Source organism: Homo sapiens, chromosome 1, assembly GCF_000001405.40.
Source record: "Homo sapiens chromosome 1, GRCh38.p14 Primary Assembly".
NCBI lineage: Eukaryota > Metazoa > Chordata > Mammalia > Primates > Hominidae > Homo > Homo sapiens.
The window spans coordinates 235,327,068-235,344,953 of NC_000001.11; the positions used below are offsets into that span (position 1 = coordinate 235,327,068).

The window sequence follows — 17,886 nt, forward strand, 5'->3', positions numbered from 1 at the left end:
AAGAGCCGCAACCAGGCGCCAGCCCCCGAACCATCACACGCCGACTCGGGGCTCCCTCCGGCCCCGCCATCCCCGCAAACCCAACCACCTACACAGCTCGGCAGCTTCCCGTCCCCATTGTCGAGACCCGACGGAGTTTCCCGTCTACGACAATGACGCCATTTCTGTCAGAGAAGAAACTCACAACAAGCCCGGCGTCCGGCGCAGGGCCGGCCGCTCTCCCCTAGGGCCTCGGCGCCCGGCCGAGCGAATCCGCGCCCCCACGCGCCGCGTCCGAGCGAGAGGCCGGCCGGGGGCCACCGAGGGGCCAGGAGGGCCTGTGGGCCGCGGGCAGGACCGGCCCGCCACAGAGCCCCTGCCCACGTCCCGTTCCGGGCTCAGACCCGACAAGTGGGAGCGAGATCAACATCTGGCCCCGCCGCGGGGACAACGTGAGGGCCGAGGGCCCCGGAGGCGGAACGGCCCCCACCCTGCCCGGGCCCCCGACCGCGGCCGCTAAACCGCTGAGTGTGCGGCCGCCCAGCCAGGGGGCGGCTCGGACACAGCGGCTGCGGGGGGTGGGGGTTCCCGGGAGGCCGAGGCCCCGAATTCGGGCGCCGCAGGGACCACCACCGCGATCTTCCTCTGCTCCTTGGCCGGGCCCAGCGACTCCCAAAAGAACCCCCTTAGGAGACCACGAAAGCCCCAGAAAATATCCCTACCTTCCTCGGAGGCGAGATCTGACCCTGGCACGTCCAGAGTCCCCTCTCTCCTTCTCCCCCCCAAAACCAGCAGGCCCGGGGGAGAGATGGGGAAGAAGGGCGGCGGGTCCAGCGGCTGCTGAGGCAGAGGCTCCGGCTCCTCCTCCTCCCGCGGCGGCGACTGGTACCTTTGTTTGGCGGCCGCTCGGGCTCCCTGGTTGGGGGGAGGGGGACGACGAAAAATCCCCCCCGGACTGGAGGTCCGGGCCCCCAATCGCGCTGCCCTCCAGAGGACGGCGGCGATGGACCCTCTGCAGCTCCCTCCGGGCAAAGGTCCAGGCGGTGGCCGTGGCGGCGGCAAGATGAAGCTCAAGAGTCTCCCTCCGCTTCGGCGACCGAGCTCCTCACTCCGGACTCGACTGACGGGCAAACATCGCTTCCCCCCCACCGACTCTAGGTTCCCCCCCTTTCTCCCCTCCCCTAGATTTTTTTTCCCCCCCTCCCCTACCTCTTTCCCGGATGGCCTCTTAGACGACCTTGGATTGGTTAAAGTTCTTTAGAACCCGCCTATACACTGTTCCTATTGGTCCCTGGATACAAACAACGACGCCATTTTCCCACCAGTTCTATGGAAACAGAAAGTTACGCCTCAAGGCTTTCTGGGAAATAAAGTCCATACTCTGGGGCCAACGCGCAAATCCTCGTCCGCGAGAACTGCAAGGCCCGCAATGCCCTGCGCCTGCGTGGACCGGTGCGGGGGCGGGGGGGAGGTGAAAGGGGCGGGGCAACAAAGCAGTAGGGAGGCGGCAACGACGCCTGCGCAGTGTGACCGGGATGGCGCATTTTCTTGCACCAACTAATGCGGTGTCGCTGGCGGCTGAGGAGGGCGGAGAGTTCTGTGGTGAAATAGTGGGAAGGATTCATGTAGGCATCGGGAAGAGCCTAAGTCCACATTATAAAATAGGAAGTTGATGCGGGGTACAGTTACTCCCGGACCGGCGGCGTGAAAGTCGTGATATCATCGTTGAACTGTGAGCGGCAGTGGCGGCGGCTGGGGGGAACCCGGATGGGAAGAAGGGCGGGGGAGGCTGGGAGGCGGGGCAGAGGAAAGAAAGAAAGGAGAGTGAGGACCCGGATGCTGAACCGGATTGTGTATGAATTTTCCATCCCCTAGCTTTAAGCGAGGAGGGAGAGGAAGGGTTGGCCAAGTGGGGCGGAAGGGAGCATCTGAGCGAGGAGGAAGCAGAAACCTCACCGTTTCTTCCCCTCCGGACTCTGTGCTAGCACTGTATACGTTTGCAGTTCTCTGCCCAGCCGCTGTGGAAAATCGGCCTCGAAGTGATTGAAATTCCCTGTTTATATCAGGCGGCTTCTTTCAGATCCATCGTCTTTCTCCCGGAGTATGAATGGAAGGATTCAGTATGCGCTTCACATTTGTATGTCTCTGGCCATTCTCAAACCAGGCCCTTCCCTTTGAAAAGTCTTTTGCATGGGATGTTCACTTCTTAGACGCAAGGTTGTGTGCCCTGGTTTCATCGTCTAACGCGTTAGAAGGCGCTTTCATTTCTTCATGGGTGTTGAGCGCCGACCACTGGGGTGGCCTCTGCCTTCGTAGACCTGCGCCTGGTGAGACGGACAGATGCTGAACAAAACGATGTGAAATTACCGCAGTGGCAGTGCCCCAGAGGAGAGTTCCACGGTGATAGGAGAATGAGGGAATTTGGCTTCTTTAGGGAGGGAAAGGAAGGGTTTCTGAGCAAGTGAGGATCGAGCTGAGAGCTGAAGGGCTAGCAGGAGTTAACTAAGGAAAGAGAAAAGGAAAAGACATTCCAGACAAAAAGACTAACTTGTCAGAAAGCCCTGTGGCGGAAGGGAGCTTTTCCAATATGAAGAACTGAGCCTGGAGAGATGGGATGAGGGGGAGTGTCGAACCTTTTAGGCTTTGTAAAGGAGTTTTGGTTTTCTCCTAATAGCAATGGGATATCTTCCAAGGAATCTCAATCAAAAGGGAGAGATGGCTCCGATTGGAATGTCATCCCTGGCTGAAGAGTAGAGGAAGCGAAAAAAAGAAGAGTTAAAGAGGCAAATGCAGGGAACCCGACGAGGAGGCTATTGCCGTAGTAGTTCACATGGTGAAAAGAATGGAGCGTTTGTATTAATGATTATGGATTCACTCTTTGAACAAATTTCTGGCAGCTTTTTAGTTTTGAAAGTGAGAAGTTTCAGACTCTCACTGAGGTATTCTGTAGTTTTTTCACTCTAAAAGGAAACTAGTAGAGTTCATGTAACACACACTAATGCCTCTTTACATTTAACTTTAGTATGTGATAGCTGAAATTTCCAGCTGTGATAAATTGGGAAATCCTTTGATTTAAAAGAAAAACAAAGGCGGGTGAGGGTGAGAGTATATGCCACGGTGTGTAGAATCCTTTAGACTCTTAAGAAGACACAAGGCGGCTGGGCGTGGTGGCTCACGCTTGTAATCCCAGCACTTTGGGAGGCCGAGGCGGGCGGATCACGAGGTCAGGAGATCGAGACCATCCTGGCTAACACGGTGAAAGCCCGTCTCTACTAAAAATACAAAAAAATTAGCCGGGCAAGGTGGCGGGCGCCTGTAGTCCCAGCTACTCGGGAGGCTGAGGCAGGAGAATGGCGTGAACCCGGGAGGCGGAGTTTGCAGTGAGACGAGATCACGCCACTGCACTCCAGCCTGGGCGACAGAGTGAGACGCTGTTTCAGAAGAAAGACACAAGGCAAGTTGGTTGTCGATACCTGGAAAAATTGAAGTTCTTATGTTTTCATACCACTGAAAATGCTTGTATGTAAATATCCTCTGGGACAGGAAATTGACTTAAGTGAGTATTCTTAAACATCTCTAAGTGAGGAAAGGAAATATTTTTTAAAGCATAATTAGTGTTTTAAGTTGAAAAATAACATCAACCACAAAGCTCTACGAATTGAAACAAAGATTAGCTCTGATTTCTGTGCAACAGGGTACACCTGTTACAGGTCCTGACACAAAAGGGAATTCTGAAAGTGCATCTCATTGATTTTTAAGTTCGGTCAAATGTGTTTTGGAGGCTGTGAGAAAATATACAAACGTGATTCTTGCTCCCAACTTGTAGTTGAGAAAAGATAGATACTAACATTTAAATAGAGAAGTATATGAGATCCTTTTTTAATTCTACTTTTAATGATGTTCGATAATAATCTTTTAGCTAAGCCATTATTCTTCCTGTTTTGCATCTTCTTTTCTTACTTCAATCCCTGATAATAAGGTCACGTGTCAGAGATCAAATAGTATAGGTAATAGGTTACCTAAATAGGTATTTGCATAATAGGTTACCTAACTAAATAGGTTTTTGCCTAATAGGTATGTTGATTATTTCGCTTACTTGATTCTTTATGAGCCTTTTTTTCCTTGCGACGTCTTTGGTATTAATTGTTAGTCAAGATGGATGTAGAAATTTTCCATATGGGATGTTTCTCTTTGAATTCATGTTGTTAAAATGATTTCTTTTGGTGGAGTGCTGATCTTTTTTATGATTGTTTCATATAGATAAGAACAGACTACAAAAAAATATGCCTTTCAATCCTGAAGAGTAACCTGAACTATACACTAGTTTTGTGCTTTAATTTTCATTTGTAATCTGCCTTCAATAAAGAGTTAAGCTAGTGGAATTTATGTCTTAGCTTGTTATAACACAAACACGAATATTTGTCTGCTTGGCATTAAAGGGTAAAGATATTCCATAGCTGGGAATCTTAATCTGAGGTACGTGTAAACATTCAGGGACTATATGATCTCTGAGAATTTGTATGTTGTAAGTCTTTGTGGCAGTGTATACATTTGTGTTGCAACTTATTAACACATACACCGGGCTTTTTTTTTTTTTTTTAGAAGATTCATAGCTTTCATCATATTCTCAAAAGGTTTCTGTGACCCATGAGATGGTTTACAGTATGGGGAAGCATCAAAGCACTTGCACAGTTGATGGTTATATGTGTGTGTTATTATTTCAGCCACCCATTATCATGTGCTTACCAACTGCCTAACAGTGCATACATATGTAGAAGTTTTATTCTTTTCTCCTGTTGCCATATTATACGTCTCATTTCACAGCAGAAAAACAACTGCATGACAGAGACAATGTGGTTCAAACCATTTTACCCTTGTATTCATTGACTGCTACAAAACAGGAACATTAAATACCTGATTGTCACCAAATTGGGTAGTCTCAGCACTTCTACACTCGTAATTGTGCTGGAAAAGTGGAATGCTAGCACTAATAATTAGATTTTGGTTTGGAGGGTTTTTTATTTGTTTATTCTTACTTGTATAAATTTATGGGGTGCAAGTGTAGTTTTATCACATGCATAGATTGCATTGTAGTGAAGTCAGGACTTTTAGGGGGTCCATCACCCATGTAATCACGTTGTACCCATTAAGTAATCTTTCATCATCCACCTCCTTCCCACCTTCTCACCCTTTGGAATCTCCATTGTCTATCATTCCACACTCCATGTCCATGTATACACATTATCTAGCTCCCATTTATAATTGAGAAGATGTACTATTTGTCTTTTATGTCTGACTTGTTACACTTAAGGTAAGGGCTATCCATCCATTTTGCTGCAAATGACATGATTTCATTTTGTTTTAATGGCTGAGTAATCATTCGTTGTATATATACCACATTTTCTTTATTCAGTCATCTGCTGATGGACACTTAGGTTGATTCCATATCTTTACTATTGTGAATAGTGCTGTAATAAACACATAGTGCAAGATTTTGGAAATTTTACTTTTGTGGCACGTTGTTGGTATTTACTCAGGATCTTTGGATTTGCTTGGCTGCATGTATATGAATCAGTGTGTTTATTTACTGAAATATGTGCAAAAGTCTTGTCTTTGGTGGATTAATTTATAATATAAATCCACAAAAGTCAGATTCTGCTCCTAAGTATATTTTACATTTTTAAATTTAATGCCAGCAAGAAGTTACAGTACTAGAATTGCCTTACCCCTGAGAGTATCAATGATCAGATCATAGTATCAGGTGACTGGGCTATAGAAGATGACTTTTATTACTTAACATTATGAAGTTACTAGGGCTGATTTAGAAATCGAGGAACACTGGTGAAACCCCGTCTCTACTAAAATACAAAAATTAGCTGGGCGTGGTGGTGGGCACCTGTAGTCCCAGCTACTCAGAAGGCTGAGTCAGGAGAATTGCTTGAGCCCAGGAGGCAGAGGTTGCAGTGAGCCGAGATCGTGCCACTGCACTCCAGCCTGGGCGACAGAGTGAGACTCCGTCTCAAAAAAAAAAAAAAAAAAAAAAAAGGAACACATCCTCACTGTTACAATAAATAACAGTAGCCCACACCCCCTTAGTTGTGATGTGGTGTGATACCATGTAAGCAACCTATTTCCAGTTCCCCTAACATTCTCAAGCAGCTGTATCAGAATCATACAAGATGCATATTTAAATTGAAGATTTCTAAGTCTCTGGCCCAGACTTAGAAAAAAAGGATCAGGCCGGGCACAGTAGCTAACACCTGCAATTCCAACACTTTGGGAGGCTGAGGCGGGTGGATCGCCTGAGGTCAGGAGTTTTGAGACCAGCCTGGCCAACATAGTGAAACCCCATCTCTACTAAAAATTCAAAAAATTAGCTGGGCGTGGTGGCAAGAACCTGTAATCCCTGCTATTCGGGAGGCTGAGGCAGGGGAATCACTTGAACCCGGGAGGTGGAGGTTGCAGTGAGCCAAGATTGCGCCACTGCACTCCAGCCTGGGCAACGAGCAAAACTCCGTCTCAAAAAAAAAAAACAAAAGGACCTTTGAGCAATCAGAATAACACAAAGTACATGAACTGAACTTCATTTTCTTCATTCAAAAGAAAGTGGCCCTCACTCAAGCAAATATATTCTTGTGCTTTATCTTCTGGCATACTGAGATAACTTTCTAAAGTGGTTTCCAATTCCAAAATCCAATGATGTGCAACTCATTGAACAGCCCTAACCACAAACTGCCATTAGATGCCATATTACATTTAGCCTTTTTGTTGTAGAAAAGTTGGTTAGAAGTGGGCTCAGGATTCTAAAGACTAAATCATAGTCCCAAGAAGCAAAAGAAAGAGGATAAAAGTAATAAACTTCCCAAAATGTGCCAAAGATGCTAGAGCAGTTAGATTCCTAATATGAGGACAAGTAATAATAGAAACAGATACAAAGAAATAAAGTAGAGATTCAACAGTACAGGGAGACCCTAGGAAGACCATGAGTGTTATTCTAGGAAATACTGAAATAAGACAGATTTCAGTATAAAGGGGAATATGTTTAATAAATATATGCATTTGAGTTAATGCGTATTTTAAATCAGAAATCTCTGAAATGGATTGATTGTAGAGAAACTACTAGGGGGACGAGGAGAATCCCTTTAAATTTTAAATACATAAAACATACTCATCTTAGTGCTCATTTAAAAAAGGATATGTTTACTAATTAGTGTAATCAGTTAAATACAGAGGTATCTTTCCAATTCTTTGGATGTGTTTTGACATTTGCCGTCAACAAATTAAGCCTTTTGTGGTTGATTAAAATAGGAAAAGCTTAATATAAGTTATGTGACTAAGAAAACAACTTAAAAACCAAGACAACACTTTGACCAATATAATCACTTGAATGAAGAATTTTCTAATTGAGATATAATTTACATACCACCCATTTAAAGTGTACATTTCAGCAGTTTTTAGTGTATTCACAGGGCTGTGCAACCATCACAATTTAATTTTATAACATTTTGATCCCTGCGAAAAGAAACCCTGTACTCATTAGCAATTAGTCCCTGTTCCTAACCACTAATCTACTTTCTTTCTCTGTAGATTGGCTTATTCTGAACATTTCGTATAAATGGAATCATACAATATGTAGTCTCTTGAGATTGGCTTCTTTCACTTAACATGTTTTCAAGGCTTCATAGCTGTAGAATCTTGCTTTGTTTTTTTGAGACTGGAGTCACTCTTTCGCCCAGGCTGGAGTGCAGTGGTGTGATCTCAGCTCACTGCAACCTCTGCCTCCCGGGTTCAAGCAGTTCTCCTGCCTCAGCCTCCCAAGTAGCCAGAACTACAGGCACACACCACCATGCTCGGCTAATCTTTGTAGTTTTAGTAGAGATGGTGTGAAGGCTGGTCTCGAACTCCTGACCTCATGATCTACCCACCTCAGCTAATTTTTCATATTTTTAGTAGAGACAAGGTTTTGCCATGTTGCCCAGGCTGGTCTCGAACTCCTGGGCTTAAGCTATCCGCCCGCCTCAGCCTCCCAAAGTGCTGGGATTACAGGCGTGAACTACCGTGCCCAGCAACAGAATCTTCTTTTTAAACCAGACTAGGTGTCTTTTCACAAACACCCTGCAATACAAATTCCTTTGCAGTTTGACACTGAAAGATGATTAGTTTCATGTGATCTTTATGTTTCTCCTTTTTGACAGATTAGCTTTGAAGTTTAAATCCAATGGAGAAGACTCAAGAAACAGTCCAAAGAATTCTTCTAGAACCCTATAAATACTTACTTCAGTTACCAGGTAATACTTCACTTACAGTCCATATAGGGTCATTTTCATGCAGTAGTGGTCGTTCAAATGTTAGCAAATAGAAAAGGTTAGACTTGCTAGCCGTTGAGATTTTCTATTTAAGGTGATGCGTATGAGAAAAATGATAAATAGAACATTATAATTTTTTCTTTATTAAAAGGTAATTTTTGCCAGGTGCAGTGATACATACCTGTTGTCCCACCTACTTGGGAGGCTGAGGCAGGAGGATGGCTTGAGCCCAGGAGTTTAAGGCTATAGTGCACAATGATCACACCTGTGAATAGCCACTACACTCCAGCTTGGGCAACATAGTGAGACCCCGTCTCTTAAAAAGAAACGTAATTTTTGAAGGCACCCTTTAAAACATATCCAATTATTTAACATATCTTGAAAAATAAAAATACTTAAAACATTTTGGTATCTCATTGGAGGTTGTACTCTTTACGGATATTACGCATTCAGATTCCCCACTGTTTAGATATTAGGGGAAGTTACGCAGATTTGTTTAACAGTAGAACACTTTATTTACCATACATGTTCAAGTTTACCTTCTATGTCTGTATTTTCCAGTATCTCACACATACACTGCATTTCATATACTACTGGTTCCTTTGAGAGCCAAATAATAATGTATCTAAAATCACAGTATTTGGAAATATAGCCCACTTTATTCCTGTATAAGGGTATGCCACCTTGGACATGGCTTCCTACCTCACGTGTACGTGTGTGTTTTTGTTTTATTTTGCTTCTTTAAAAACTTGTCTGGAGGCTGGGCGTGGTGGCTCACGCCTGTAATCCCAGCACTTTTTGAGGCCAAGGCGGGCGGATCATGAGGTCAAGAGGTTGAGACCAGCCTGGCCAACATGGTAAAACCCCGTCTCTACTAAAAACACAAAAGTTAGCTGGGCATGGTGGCGCATGCCTGTAGTCCCAGCTACTCGGGAGGCTGAGGCAGGAGAATCACCTGAACCTGGAAGGCAGAGGTTGCAGTGAGCTGAGATTGCATCACTGCACTCCAGCCTGGCAACAGAATGAGACTCCGACTCAAAAAAAAAGAAGAACTTGTCTGGAAATGATAATAAGCAAAAACTCATGAATATAATAAACAGGGGTTATTGTAATAAAAAATCATTTGTATTAGAATATTCTTTCTCATAGACATAATATAGGCCAGGTGTGGTGGCCCACACCTGTATTCCCAGCACTTTGGGAAGCCAAGGCAGGATTGCTTGAGACCAAAAGTTTGAGACCACCTTGGGCAACATAACAAGTCCCCCTCTCTGTTTTAAACATTTTTTAAAAAAGAAGAAATAATATAAAAGTTGGTAAATTATTTGACAAGCATAAAAACCTATTTAGCCATACTGTGACTAAACTCTAATGATGCTCTCAATTCAGTCTCAATAGACACTTTTAAATTTCCGTGCTAAAGTACACACCTTTCTTTATGAGCACTTCTCTGTGGTAATATGTGCATTTCTGTTCTTCATGAGCCTGGGAAGGATAAAAGCCAAAAGAATGCTTGCTCCTGTGCTACACCTTGGAAACCATAATTAGTGTCATTTTTATTTTGGCCGACCCTAATAGAGACTCGCCTGCTAATGTCAATGCATGAGAAGAATGAGGGAATGACAGAAATGGAGAATTCAAAGGGAAGGTTGCCCACTGTTTAAGAAAAAGCCAAGAGACTGCTTTTGAGTGACATTTATCCAGCAGTTAGTAACTTATTTCAGTATCTCCCAGTGAGAAACATGGCACAGTTTCACTTTCACTCTACCCAGCTCTTACTGCCAGACATCCTTTAGAACACGCTCACAAACACTAGCTGGAACTGGGCTGGCATTAATAGCAAGCCAGTTATCAGTGCTGACAAAAGTCTAACAAGCATCGCTTGAATGTCTCTTACTCTGCTACTTACAAAGCAAGGACTGCCTACAGTTACATTTTAACCATAATGCTTACTTATGCTGTGACCACCTTCTGTGACTTCCTTTTTTTTAATTCTCATTACTTGGAAATAATGTTTTAAGACATTAGATAACATATTTAAAATTATCACTAGGTACCTCACCTTTTTATTCAAGTACGTTCTTGATCCATGATGGAATACAACCTCAAAAGATACTACTAAAGAAATATGACATTGCACTATGCACATAACACACTTATTTTTTTACAGAGAGCTTCAGAGTTACTAAAGTAACTTAGAGGTGTGCCAGGTCATTTATACTGTTGTAATATTACTCTTGCTAATAAATAATAATAATGCTATCAGTATTTTCTGAAGTCAACCTGGCCAACATGGTGAAACCCTGTATCTACTAAAAATACAAATATTAGCCAAGTATGGTAGCGCATGCCTGTAGTCCCAGCTGAGGCACGGGAGTCACAGGAGCCTAGGAGGCAGAGGTTGCAGTGAGCCGAGATCACGCCACTGCACTCCAGCCTGGGCAACAGAGTGAGACACTGTCTCAAAAAAAAAAAAGGATTTTCTGAAATTAGTAAAGAAAATTATTTTTATTTTTAAATTTCTCATACTTGCTGTCATCTTATGTTTATGTTTGTTTATTTGCCTTAGTGTGGGGCCCTAGATGAGGTGAAGGGTGGGATTAGGGAGAGATGAAGCTGGCAGTGGAGGAAGAAGGGCTCCAAAAAGAGAGACAATAATGTTTAGATCTTAAAGAGGAAGCAGTAATCTTTTAATTTTGAGAGATCTCTGTGATTAGCCTCAGTACTAGAAATTATTTTGGAACTCAGCCAGGCGCGGTGGCTCACATCTGTACTCCCAGCACTTTGGGAGACCGAAGTGGGCAGATGGCTTAAGCCCAGGAGTTCAAGACCAGCCTGGGCAACATGGCAAAACCCTGTCTCTACTAAAAATACAAAAAATTAGCCAGGCATGTGATACGCCCTTGTAGTCCCAGCTTACCTGGGGGACTGAGGTGGGATGATTACCGGAGCCTGGGAGGTTGAGGCTGCAGTAAGCCAAGATCACACCACTGCACCCCAGCCTGGGTGATTAAGGGAGACCCCGTCTCAGAAAAAAAAAAGGGGGGGAAACTTAAAAGCATCAGGCTAAACACTAGCATGTCATCAGAGGGGAAAAAAATATTAAAACTGTAGTACCTCAAAAATAAGCCATATATTGTACTGTTTTCTATATAACATTCAAAAGTAAAATGAAAAATGAAATTTCACATTGAGACTCTGTTTTTCATCTTCAAAAAAATGTGTTTAAGTGATACAGGCCAAGTGCAGTGGCTGACTTATTATCCCAGCACTTTGGGAGGCCAAGTGGGACAGATTGCTTTTGAGCCCAGGGGTTTGAGACCAGCCTGGGCAACAGGGCGAAACCCTGCCTCTACAAAAAATAAATAAATAAAAATAAAATTAGCCAGGCATGGTGGCTTGTTCTTGTAGTCCCAGCTACTCAGGGGACTTGAGCCTAGGAGGTCAAGGCTGCAGTAGGCCGTGATTGTGCCACTGCACTCCAGCCTGGGTGACAGAGCGAGACCCTGTCTCAAAAATAATAATAATAGGCCGGGCGTGGTGGGTCACACCTGTAATCCCAGCACTTCGAGAGGCCAAAGCATGTGGACGACTTGAGGTCAGGAGTTCGAGACCAGCCTGGCCAACATGGGGAAACCCTGTCTCTATTAAAAGTACAAAAAATTGGCCGGGCGCGGTAGCTCACGCATGTAATCCCTACACTTTGGGAGGCTGAGGTGGGTGGATCACCTGAGGTCAGGAATTCAAGACCAGCCTGGCCAACATGATGAAACCGTCTCTACTAAAAATACAAAAAATTAGCTGGATTTAGTGGCGCACGACTGTAATCCCAGCTACTCAGGAGGCTGAGGCAGGAGAATCGCTTGAACCTAGGAGGTGGAGGTTGCAGTGAGCCAAGATCGTGACACTGTACCCCAGCCTGGGCAACAAGAGCAAAACTCGATCTCAGAAAAAAAATACAAAAAATTAGCTAGGCGTAGTGACGCACACCTGTAATCCCAGCTACTCGGGAGGCTGAGACAGGAGAATCCCTTGAACCCAGGAGGCGAAGGTTGTGGTGAGCCGAGCCAAGATCGTGCCATTGCTTTCCAGCCTAGGTGACAGAGCAAAACTTCATCTCCACAAACAAACAAACAAACAAAAAAACCCATAATCCCAGCATTTTGGGAGGCCAACACAGGTGAATTACCTGAGGTCAGGAGTTTGACACCAGCCTGGCCAACATAGTGAAACCCTGTCTCTACTAAAATTACAAAAATTAGCCAGGTGTGGTGGCAGGTGCCTGTAATCCCAGCTACTTGGGAGGCTGAGGCAGGAGAATCGCTTGAACCCAGGGGGCGGAGGTTGCAGTGAGCCGAGATCACACCATTGCACTCTAGCCTGGGTGACAAGAGCGAAATTCCATCTCCAAAAAAAAAAAAAGAAAACAGTATTTTAGTTTTAACTTTTTATGTAACCATTTTCCTGAAACCTTATCTAAAATTAGGATGTTATTACCATGCATTCATTTAGCAGAAAACTTATAGAACATTTTTACTAAGTGAACTGGCCATGGTTTTTATCTATCATTCCTTTGTATGTGACTACAATGACTTCTAGTGGTAACTTCTATCCAAAGACCTATCTTAAATTAGCCACGCATGGTGGCACATGCGTGTAATCCCAGCTACTCAGGAGGCTGAGGCAGGAGAATAGCTTGATCTTGGGAGGCGGAGGTTGCAAGTGAGCCGAGATCACGCCGCTGCAATCCAGCCTGGGCAACAGAATGAGACTCCGTCTCAAAAACAAAAAACAAAAAGACCTATCTTGAGCTTTCCGTGTAAGAAAAAGATGATACTGTTGGGTGAAGTGACTCAACGTCTGTAATTTCAGCAATTTGGGAGGCTGTAGCGGCCGGATTGCTTGAGCCCAGGAGTTTGAGACCAGCTTGGGCAACATGGGAACACACTGTCTCTACAAAAACAAAAATTAACCGGGCGTGGTCGCTTGCACCTATAGTGCCAGCTACTCGGGAGGCTGAGGTGGAGGCTGCAGTGAGCTGTGAACACACCACTGCACTCCAGCCTGGGTGACAGAGTGAGACCCTGTCTCAAAAAAAAAAGCAAGAAGCGCAGTGGCTCACGCCTGTAATCCCAGCACTTTGGGAGGCCGAGGCGGGCGGATCACGAGGTCAGGAGATCGAGACCATCCTGGCTAACACGGTGAAACCCCGTCTCTACTAAAAATACAAAAAATGAGCCGGGCGTGGTAGCGGGCGCCTGTAGTCCCAGCTACTCGGGAGGCTGAGGCAGGAGAATGGCGTGAACCCGGGAGGCGGAGCTTGCAGTGAGCCGAGATCGCGCCACTGCACTCCAGCCTGGGCGACAGAGCGAGACTCCGTCTCAAAAAAAAAAAAAAAAAAAAAAACAAGAAAGAAAAAAAGAAGATACTGAAAAATAGATGTCCCTAGTCAAAATAATGAGATTAGCTTTTGACTAAACTCAGGATATTAAAAGGGAATACTTCAGTGCATGATGATCTCATTTTTGAAAGGAAAGAAGCAGAGCTTCCCCATCTCTAAAACCTTAATTCAAAGGAGAAATAGATAATTTCAAGAGGTATTTTTATGAGGTAATAGTAAAATATATTTTATTAACAGTACCTATAGTTATGTAAAATAGGTAGTGCCAATTAACTGACACTAAACTAGCTTCTTGGCCTGGCGCAGTGGCTCACGCCTGTAATCCAAACACTTTGGGAGGCCGATGCGGGTGTATCGCTTGGGCTCAGGAATTCAAGGCCAGCCTGGGCAACATATTAAAACCCCCTTTCTATAAAATATACAAAAATTAGCCAGGCATGGTGTGTGCCTGTAGTCCCAGATACTCAGGAGGCTGAGGCACGAGAATCATGTGAACCCAGGAGGTGGAGTTTGCAGTGAGCCGAGATCACGCCACTGCACTCCAGCCTGGGCAACAGAGCAAAACTCTGTCTCAAATAATTAATAAATAAACTAGCTTCCTTTTCAAAAAAAGAAATAAATTAGGTCCTAAGTCCTAAAAGCCCATCCTACTTTAAAATTGTTTATTCAAGTTCAGATGAAAAGAGTGGACTAGTAGGCAACTGAAGTGCTTTAGAGTCTCCCGTGCCTGCCCTAATTTTAGAAGGTTGTGCACTTTATGATCCAGATTTCTGAGTGGTTGAGAATGAGTTATTGAGCAGTGCAAGGCAAGCTCTGCAGTAGGTAATGGATTGATGAGGCTGGATTTAGCAAGTCTGATCAATCTAAAGGAAGTTTCTGAATGTGTTTTTTGTAGTTAAAATACTCATAATTAAAACACTTATCACATTGTCACATTTTATTTTTAAATTGCAGGTAAACAAGTGAGAACCAAACTTTCACAGGCATTTAATCATTGGCTGAAAGTTCCAGAGGACAAGCTACAGGTATTAGGCAACTCTAACCTCATTAATCCCCAAGAAATTAATAGCTGTCGCATAAAAATATTCCTAGTTCTTGATTGAATTTAGTCCTCATGCAAGATATTATTTTATATTGAGGTTGCTAAATATTTATTAGTTGTGAAAATTAACACACCTGAGACTTTCATAATCTGTTAATTAAACTGAGTAAGTTTTGAATAGTTCAAATAAGTGAAATTTTCAATTTTTTTATTAGATTATTATTGAAGTGACAGAAATGTTGCATAATGCCAGTTTACTCATCGATGATATTGAAGACAACTCAAAACTCCGACGTGGCTTTCCAGTGGCCCACAGCATCTATGGAATCCCATCTGTCATCAATTCTGCCAATTACGTGTATTTCCTTGGCTTGGAGAAAGTCTTAACCCTTGATCACCCAGATGCAGTGAAGCTTTTTACCCGCCAGCTTTTGGAACTCCATCAGGGACAAGGCCTAGATATTTACTGGAGGGATAATTACACTTGTCCCACTGAAGAAGAATATAAAGCTATGGTGCTGCAGAAAACAGGTGGACTGTTTGGATTAGCAGTAGGTCTCATGCAGTTGTTCTCTGATTACAAAGAAGATTTAAAACCGCTACTTAATACACTTGGGCTCTTTTTCCAAATTAGGGATGATTATGCTAATCTACACTCCAAAGAATATAGTGAAAACAAAAGTTTTTGTGAAGATCTGACAGAGGGAAAGTTCTCATTTCCTACTATTCATGCTATTTGGTCAAGGCCTGAAAGCACCCAGGTGCAGAATATCTTGCGCCAGAGAACAGAAAACATAGATATAAAAAAATACTGTGTACATTATCTTGAGGATGTAGGTTCTTTTGAATACACTCGTAATACCCTTAAAGAGCTTGAAGCTAAAGCCTATAAACAGATTGATGCACGTGGTGGGAACCCTGAGCTAGTAGCCTTAGTAAAACACTTAAGTAAGATGTTCAAAGAAGAAAATGAATAATGTTAAGCCATTCTTGATTGGACCTCATAGCTTATTTTAGTTAATCTTTTTTTTGTCTTTTAGCCTTACCACCTTTTAAAAAATTTGTTATTCTCCAGAAACAGTAAATAGGTGAGTAGGGGTGGTGCAAGTGAATTCGTTTTCATTTAGAAGCCCCTCTGTACAGATAATCAAAATTCAAAGTTGAAAGAATCAAAAGCAGCCACAGTTATGTAGGTCTGATTTGAATGTCATAATTGCAGTGACAGGACATTGCCACCAACTCTATCCTACTACCATCAATGTTGTGTTTATTCCGTCAATAAAAAAGACTTGCTTCCAGGAATTTTTATCCATACACTTTCTAACTGTACTATCTGGGCAGTTCCAAGCCAGTTTCTATTAGCTAGCTGGACCAAAGACCACAAATCTCTTTTTTTCCTAAACGCTGCTGTAAGGAATATCTCACTTTTCCCCCCGGAAACACCCTCACTGAAGTCTTCTATGAAAAGGCTGATAATGGGCTGGGCGCGGTGGCTCACGCCTGTAATCCCAGCACTTTGGGAGGCCGAGGCGGGCAGATCACGAGGTCAGGAGATCGAGACCATCCTGACACGGTGAAACCCTGTCTCTACTAAAAATACAAAAAATTAGCTGGGCGTGGTGGTGGGCGCCTGTAGTCCCAGCTACTCGGGAGGCTGAGGCAGGAGAATGGTGTGAACCCAGGAGGCGGAGCTTGCAGTGAGCCGAGATAGTGCCTCTGCACTCCAGCCTGGGTGACAGAGCGAGACTCCGTCTCAAAAAAAAGGGCTGATAATGATAAACAGTGAGCACTCCGGTCCTTTTTCTTAGGTTTTCCTTTTTTCCTTCCTCTCCACCCCACAAGTTTTGCTTTTTAACCAAGGTGTCTCTGCTTGATGAAATTCACATGCTAGTCTAAATCTTTTTTTCTCCCTTGTAACATTTATGTGCCCCAAACTGGTTAGTATATGGGTACAGCATTCCCTTTCCAATTGGGAAGCGGAAAAAGAGAGTATGGGATATTTTAGAAGGGAGCCTTTGAACCTTATTATATTTCCCCATCATTGATAGTGACAATCTTAAAAGGGTTGTTTTCTTACCTTAAGTACAAAAGCATGGAAAAATGCGCTTTTCCTTCCCGCCCACATCACCACCCCGACTTGAAGACAGTAGGTGCTTGAATGGAAAGTGAGTAGGCATCTTTAATCGCCCTGATTAAAGGAAAGTGTTAGCCTGAGAGGGCCTGACTGAAAAGTAACCAAAGGCTTAATATCAAACACTAATTAGCTTTTTAGTGCCTTAACCCTGACCTGGTTACCAGTTTTCTGTAGTTTCTACACCCAAGCCACTGAAGTCATCTGTGGCCCAAGAGGTAGGACAAAAAAAAAAAAAAAAAAAGCTGATTTCAATATTTGATTTGTTGACATCCCAAAATGAAAGTTTTATGTTTCCCTTAGAAACATGTTTTGCTTGGTTCTATAGTATGTTACTTAGGATCTATTTACCATATATTTGTATGAGAAATCCTCACCCAAGCATTCAACCTAAATCTTTGAAAAGTTGGGTGCTGTCTTTAGTAACTTTTAAAATAGTTTAAATCTCCCATTTTAATAGTGATAAGGAAACCTGTTAAAATCATGGCTATTGATGTTATAGTATGGAAAGTTGAACTTTATGAACCCATACTTTTAAAAAGCATTTTTAAAAATCTAACACTGACTATAGAAACAAATTAAAATGTCTACCTTTAAGTATAAAAATTGCTTAAGTAGATTTGTTCCTTGCCTATCAAATTAATTTTGGCCTGGTGTTCTTCATTATTCATTTGTTAATTTTATCTTGCCTTTGTCAATAACAGAAATGTTTGTCATTGAATTGGGAATTTTTTTTTTTTTTTTTGAGACGGAGTTTCACTCTTGTTGCCCAGGCTGGAGTGCAATGGCGTGATCTCAGCTCACTGCAACCTCCACCTCCCGGGTTCAAGCGATTCTCCTGCCTCAGCCTCCTAAGTAGCTGGGATTACAGATGCCTGCCATGTTGCCTGGCTAATTTTTTTTTTTTTTTTTTTTTTAAGTAGAGATGGGGTTTCACCATGTTGGCCAGGCTGGTGTTGAACTTCTGACCTCAGGTGATCCAGCTGCCTCGGCCTCCCAAAGTACTGGGATTACAGGCATGAGCCAC

At 43.5% G+C, this 17,886-nt stretch overlaps 2 protein-coding genes across 14 annotated transcripts in view, besides 8 other annotated features; one reads left to right on the forward strand and one right to left on the reverse strand.

Moving 5' to 3' along the window:
* Positions 1-526: an enhancer, noted in NCBI's record as "NANOG-H3K27ac-H3K4me1 hESC enhancer chr1:235490383-235490908 (GRCh37/hg19 assembly coordinates)". NCBI's record gives its function as "activates a minimal SCP1, AML or CMV promoter by ChIP-STARR-seq in naive H9 embryonic stem cells {active_cell/tissue: H9 hESC(naive)}" and the evidence as "EXISTENCE:reporter gene assay evidence [ECO:0000049][PMID:30033119]".
* Positions 1-562: a biological region, named in NCBI's record as "NANOG-H3K27ac-H3K4me1 hESC enhancer GRCh37_chr1:235490383-235490908".
* The window catches only part of ARID4B (AT-rich interaction domain 4B), a 161,278-nt gene extending 160,166 nt beyond the window's left edge, over positions 1-1,112 (reverse strand). For 5 of the 9 annotated variants that reach the window (NR_135074.2, NM_031371.4, XM_006711781.4 and 2 more), the window contains exon 1: positions 702-1,112. The gene's annotated coding sequence lies outside the window, so the exon portion shown is untranslated. Of the gene's footprint in view, positions 1-92; positions 421-701 lie in introns of those variants that run through there. The other 4 variants (XM_024447626.2, XM_047422531.1, XM_011544212.4 and 1 more) reach the window with 2 other exon arrangements.
* Positions 149-17,465, forward strand: GGPS1 (geranylgeranyl diphosphate synthase 1). Of its 5 annotated transcripts, none has more exons than NM_001371477.1 (4): positions 149-431; positions 8,175-8,267; positions 14,641-14,711; positions 14,944-17,465. In NM_001371477.1, the coding sequence occupies exons 2-4, from the start codon at positions 8,198-8,200 to the stop codon at positions 15,703-15,705; spliced, it is 903 nt and encodes a 300-aa protein (NP_001358406.1). In that variant the 5' UTR covers positions 149-431; positions 8,175-8,197; the 3' UTR covers positions 15,706-17,465. The 5 variants fall into 5 exon arrangements, with proteins under 5 accessions (NP_001358406.1, NP_001032354.1, NP_004828.1 ...); NM_001037277.1 differs by lacking the exon at positions 149-431 and adding an exon at positions 1,371-1,431; NM_004837.4 differs by lacking the exon at positions 149-431 and adding an exon at positions 1,503-1,711.
* Positions 233-322: a silencer, noted in NCBI's record as "silent region_1985". NCBI's record gives its function as "represses an Ori minimal core promoter by ATAC-STARR-seq in GM12878 lymphoblastoid cells {active_cell/tissue: GM12878}" and the evidence as "EXISTENCE:reporter gene assay evidence [ECO:0000049][PMID:35858748]".
* Positions 333-562: a silencer, noted in NCBI's record as "silent region_1986". NCBI's record gives its function as "represses an Ori minimal core promoter by ATAC-STARR-seq in GM12878 lymphoblastoid cells {active_cell/tissue: GM12878}" and the evidence as "EXISTENCE:reporter gene assay evidence [ECO:0000049][PMID:35858748]".
* Positions 733-782: a silencer, noted in NCBI's record as "silent region_1987". NCBI's record gives its function as "represses an Ori minimal core promoter by ATAC-STARR-seq in GM12878 lymphoblastoid cells {active_cell/tissue: GM12878}" and the evidence as "EXISTENCE:reporter gene assay evidence [ECO:0000049][PMID:35858748]".
* Positions 1,263-1,322: an enhancer, noted in NCBI's record as "active region_2798". NCBI's record gives its function as "activates an Ori minimal core promoter by ATAC-STARR-seq in GM12878 lymphoblastoid cells {active_cell/tissue: GM12878}" and the evidence as "EXISTENCE:reporter gene assay evidence [ECO:0000049][PMID:35858748]".
* Positions 1,563-1,652: an enhancer, noted in NCBI's record as "active region_2799". NCBI's record gives its function as "activates an Ori minimal core promoter by ATAC-STARR-seq in GM12878 lymphoblastoid cells {active_cell/tissue: GM12878}" and the evidence as "EXISTENCE:reporter gene assay evidence [ECO:0000049][PMID:35858748]".
* Positions 2,153-2,302: an enhancer, noted in NCBI's record as "active region_2800". NCBI's record gives its function as "activates an Ori minimal core promoter by ATAC-STARR-seq in GM12878 lymphoblastoid cells {active_cell/tissue: GM12878}" and the evidence as "EXISTENCE:reporter gene assay evidence [ECO:0000049][PMID:35858748]".
* Positions 17,466-17,886: the final 421 nt, after the last annotated feature.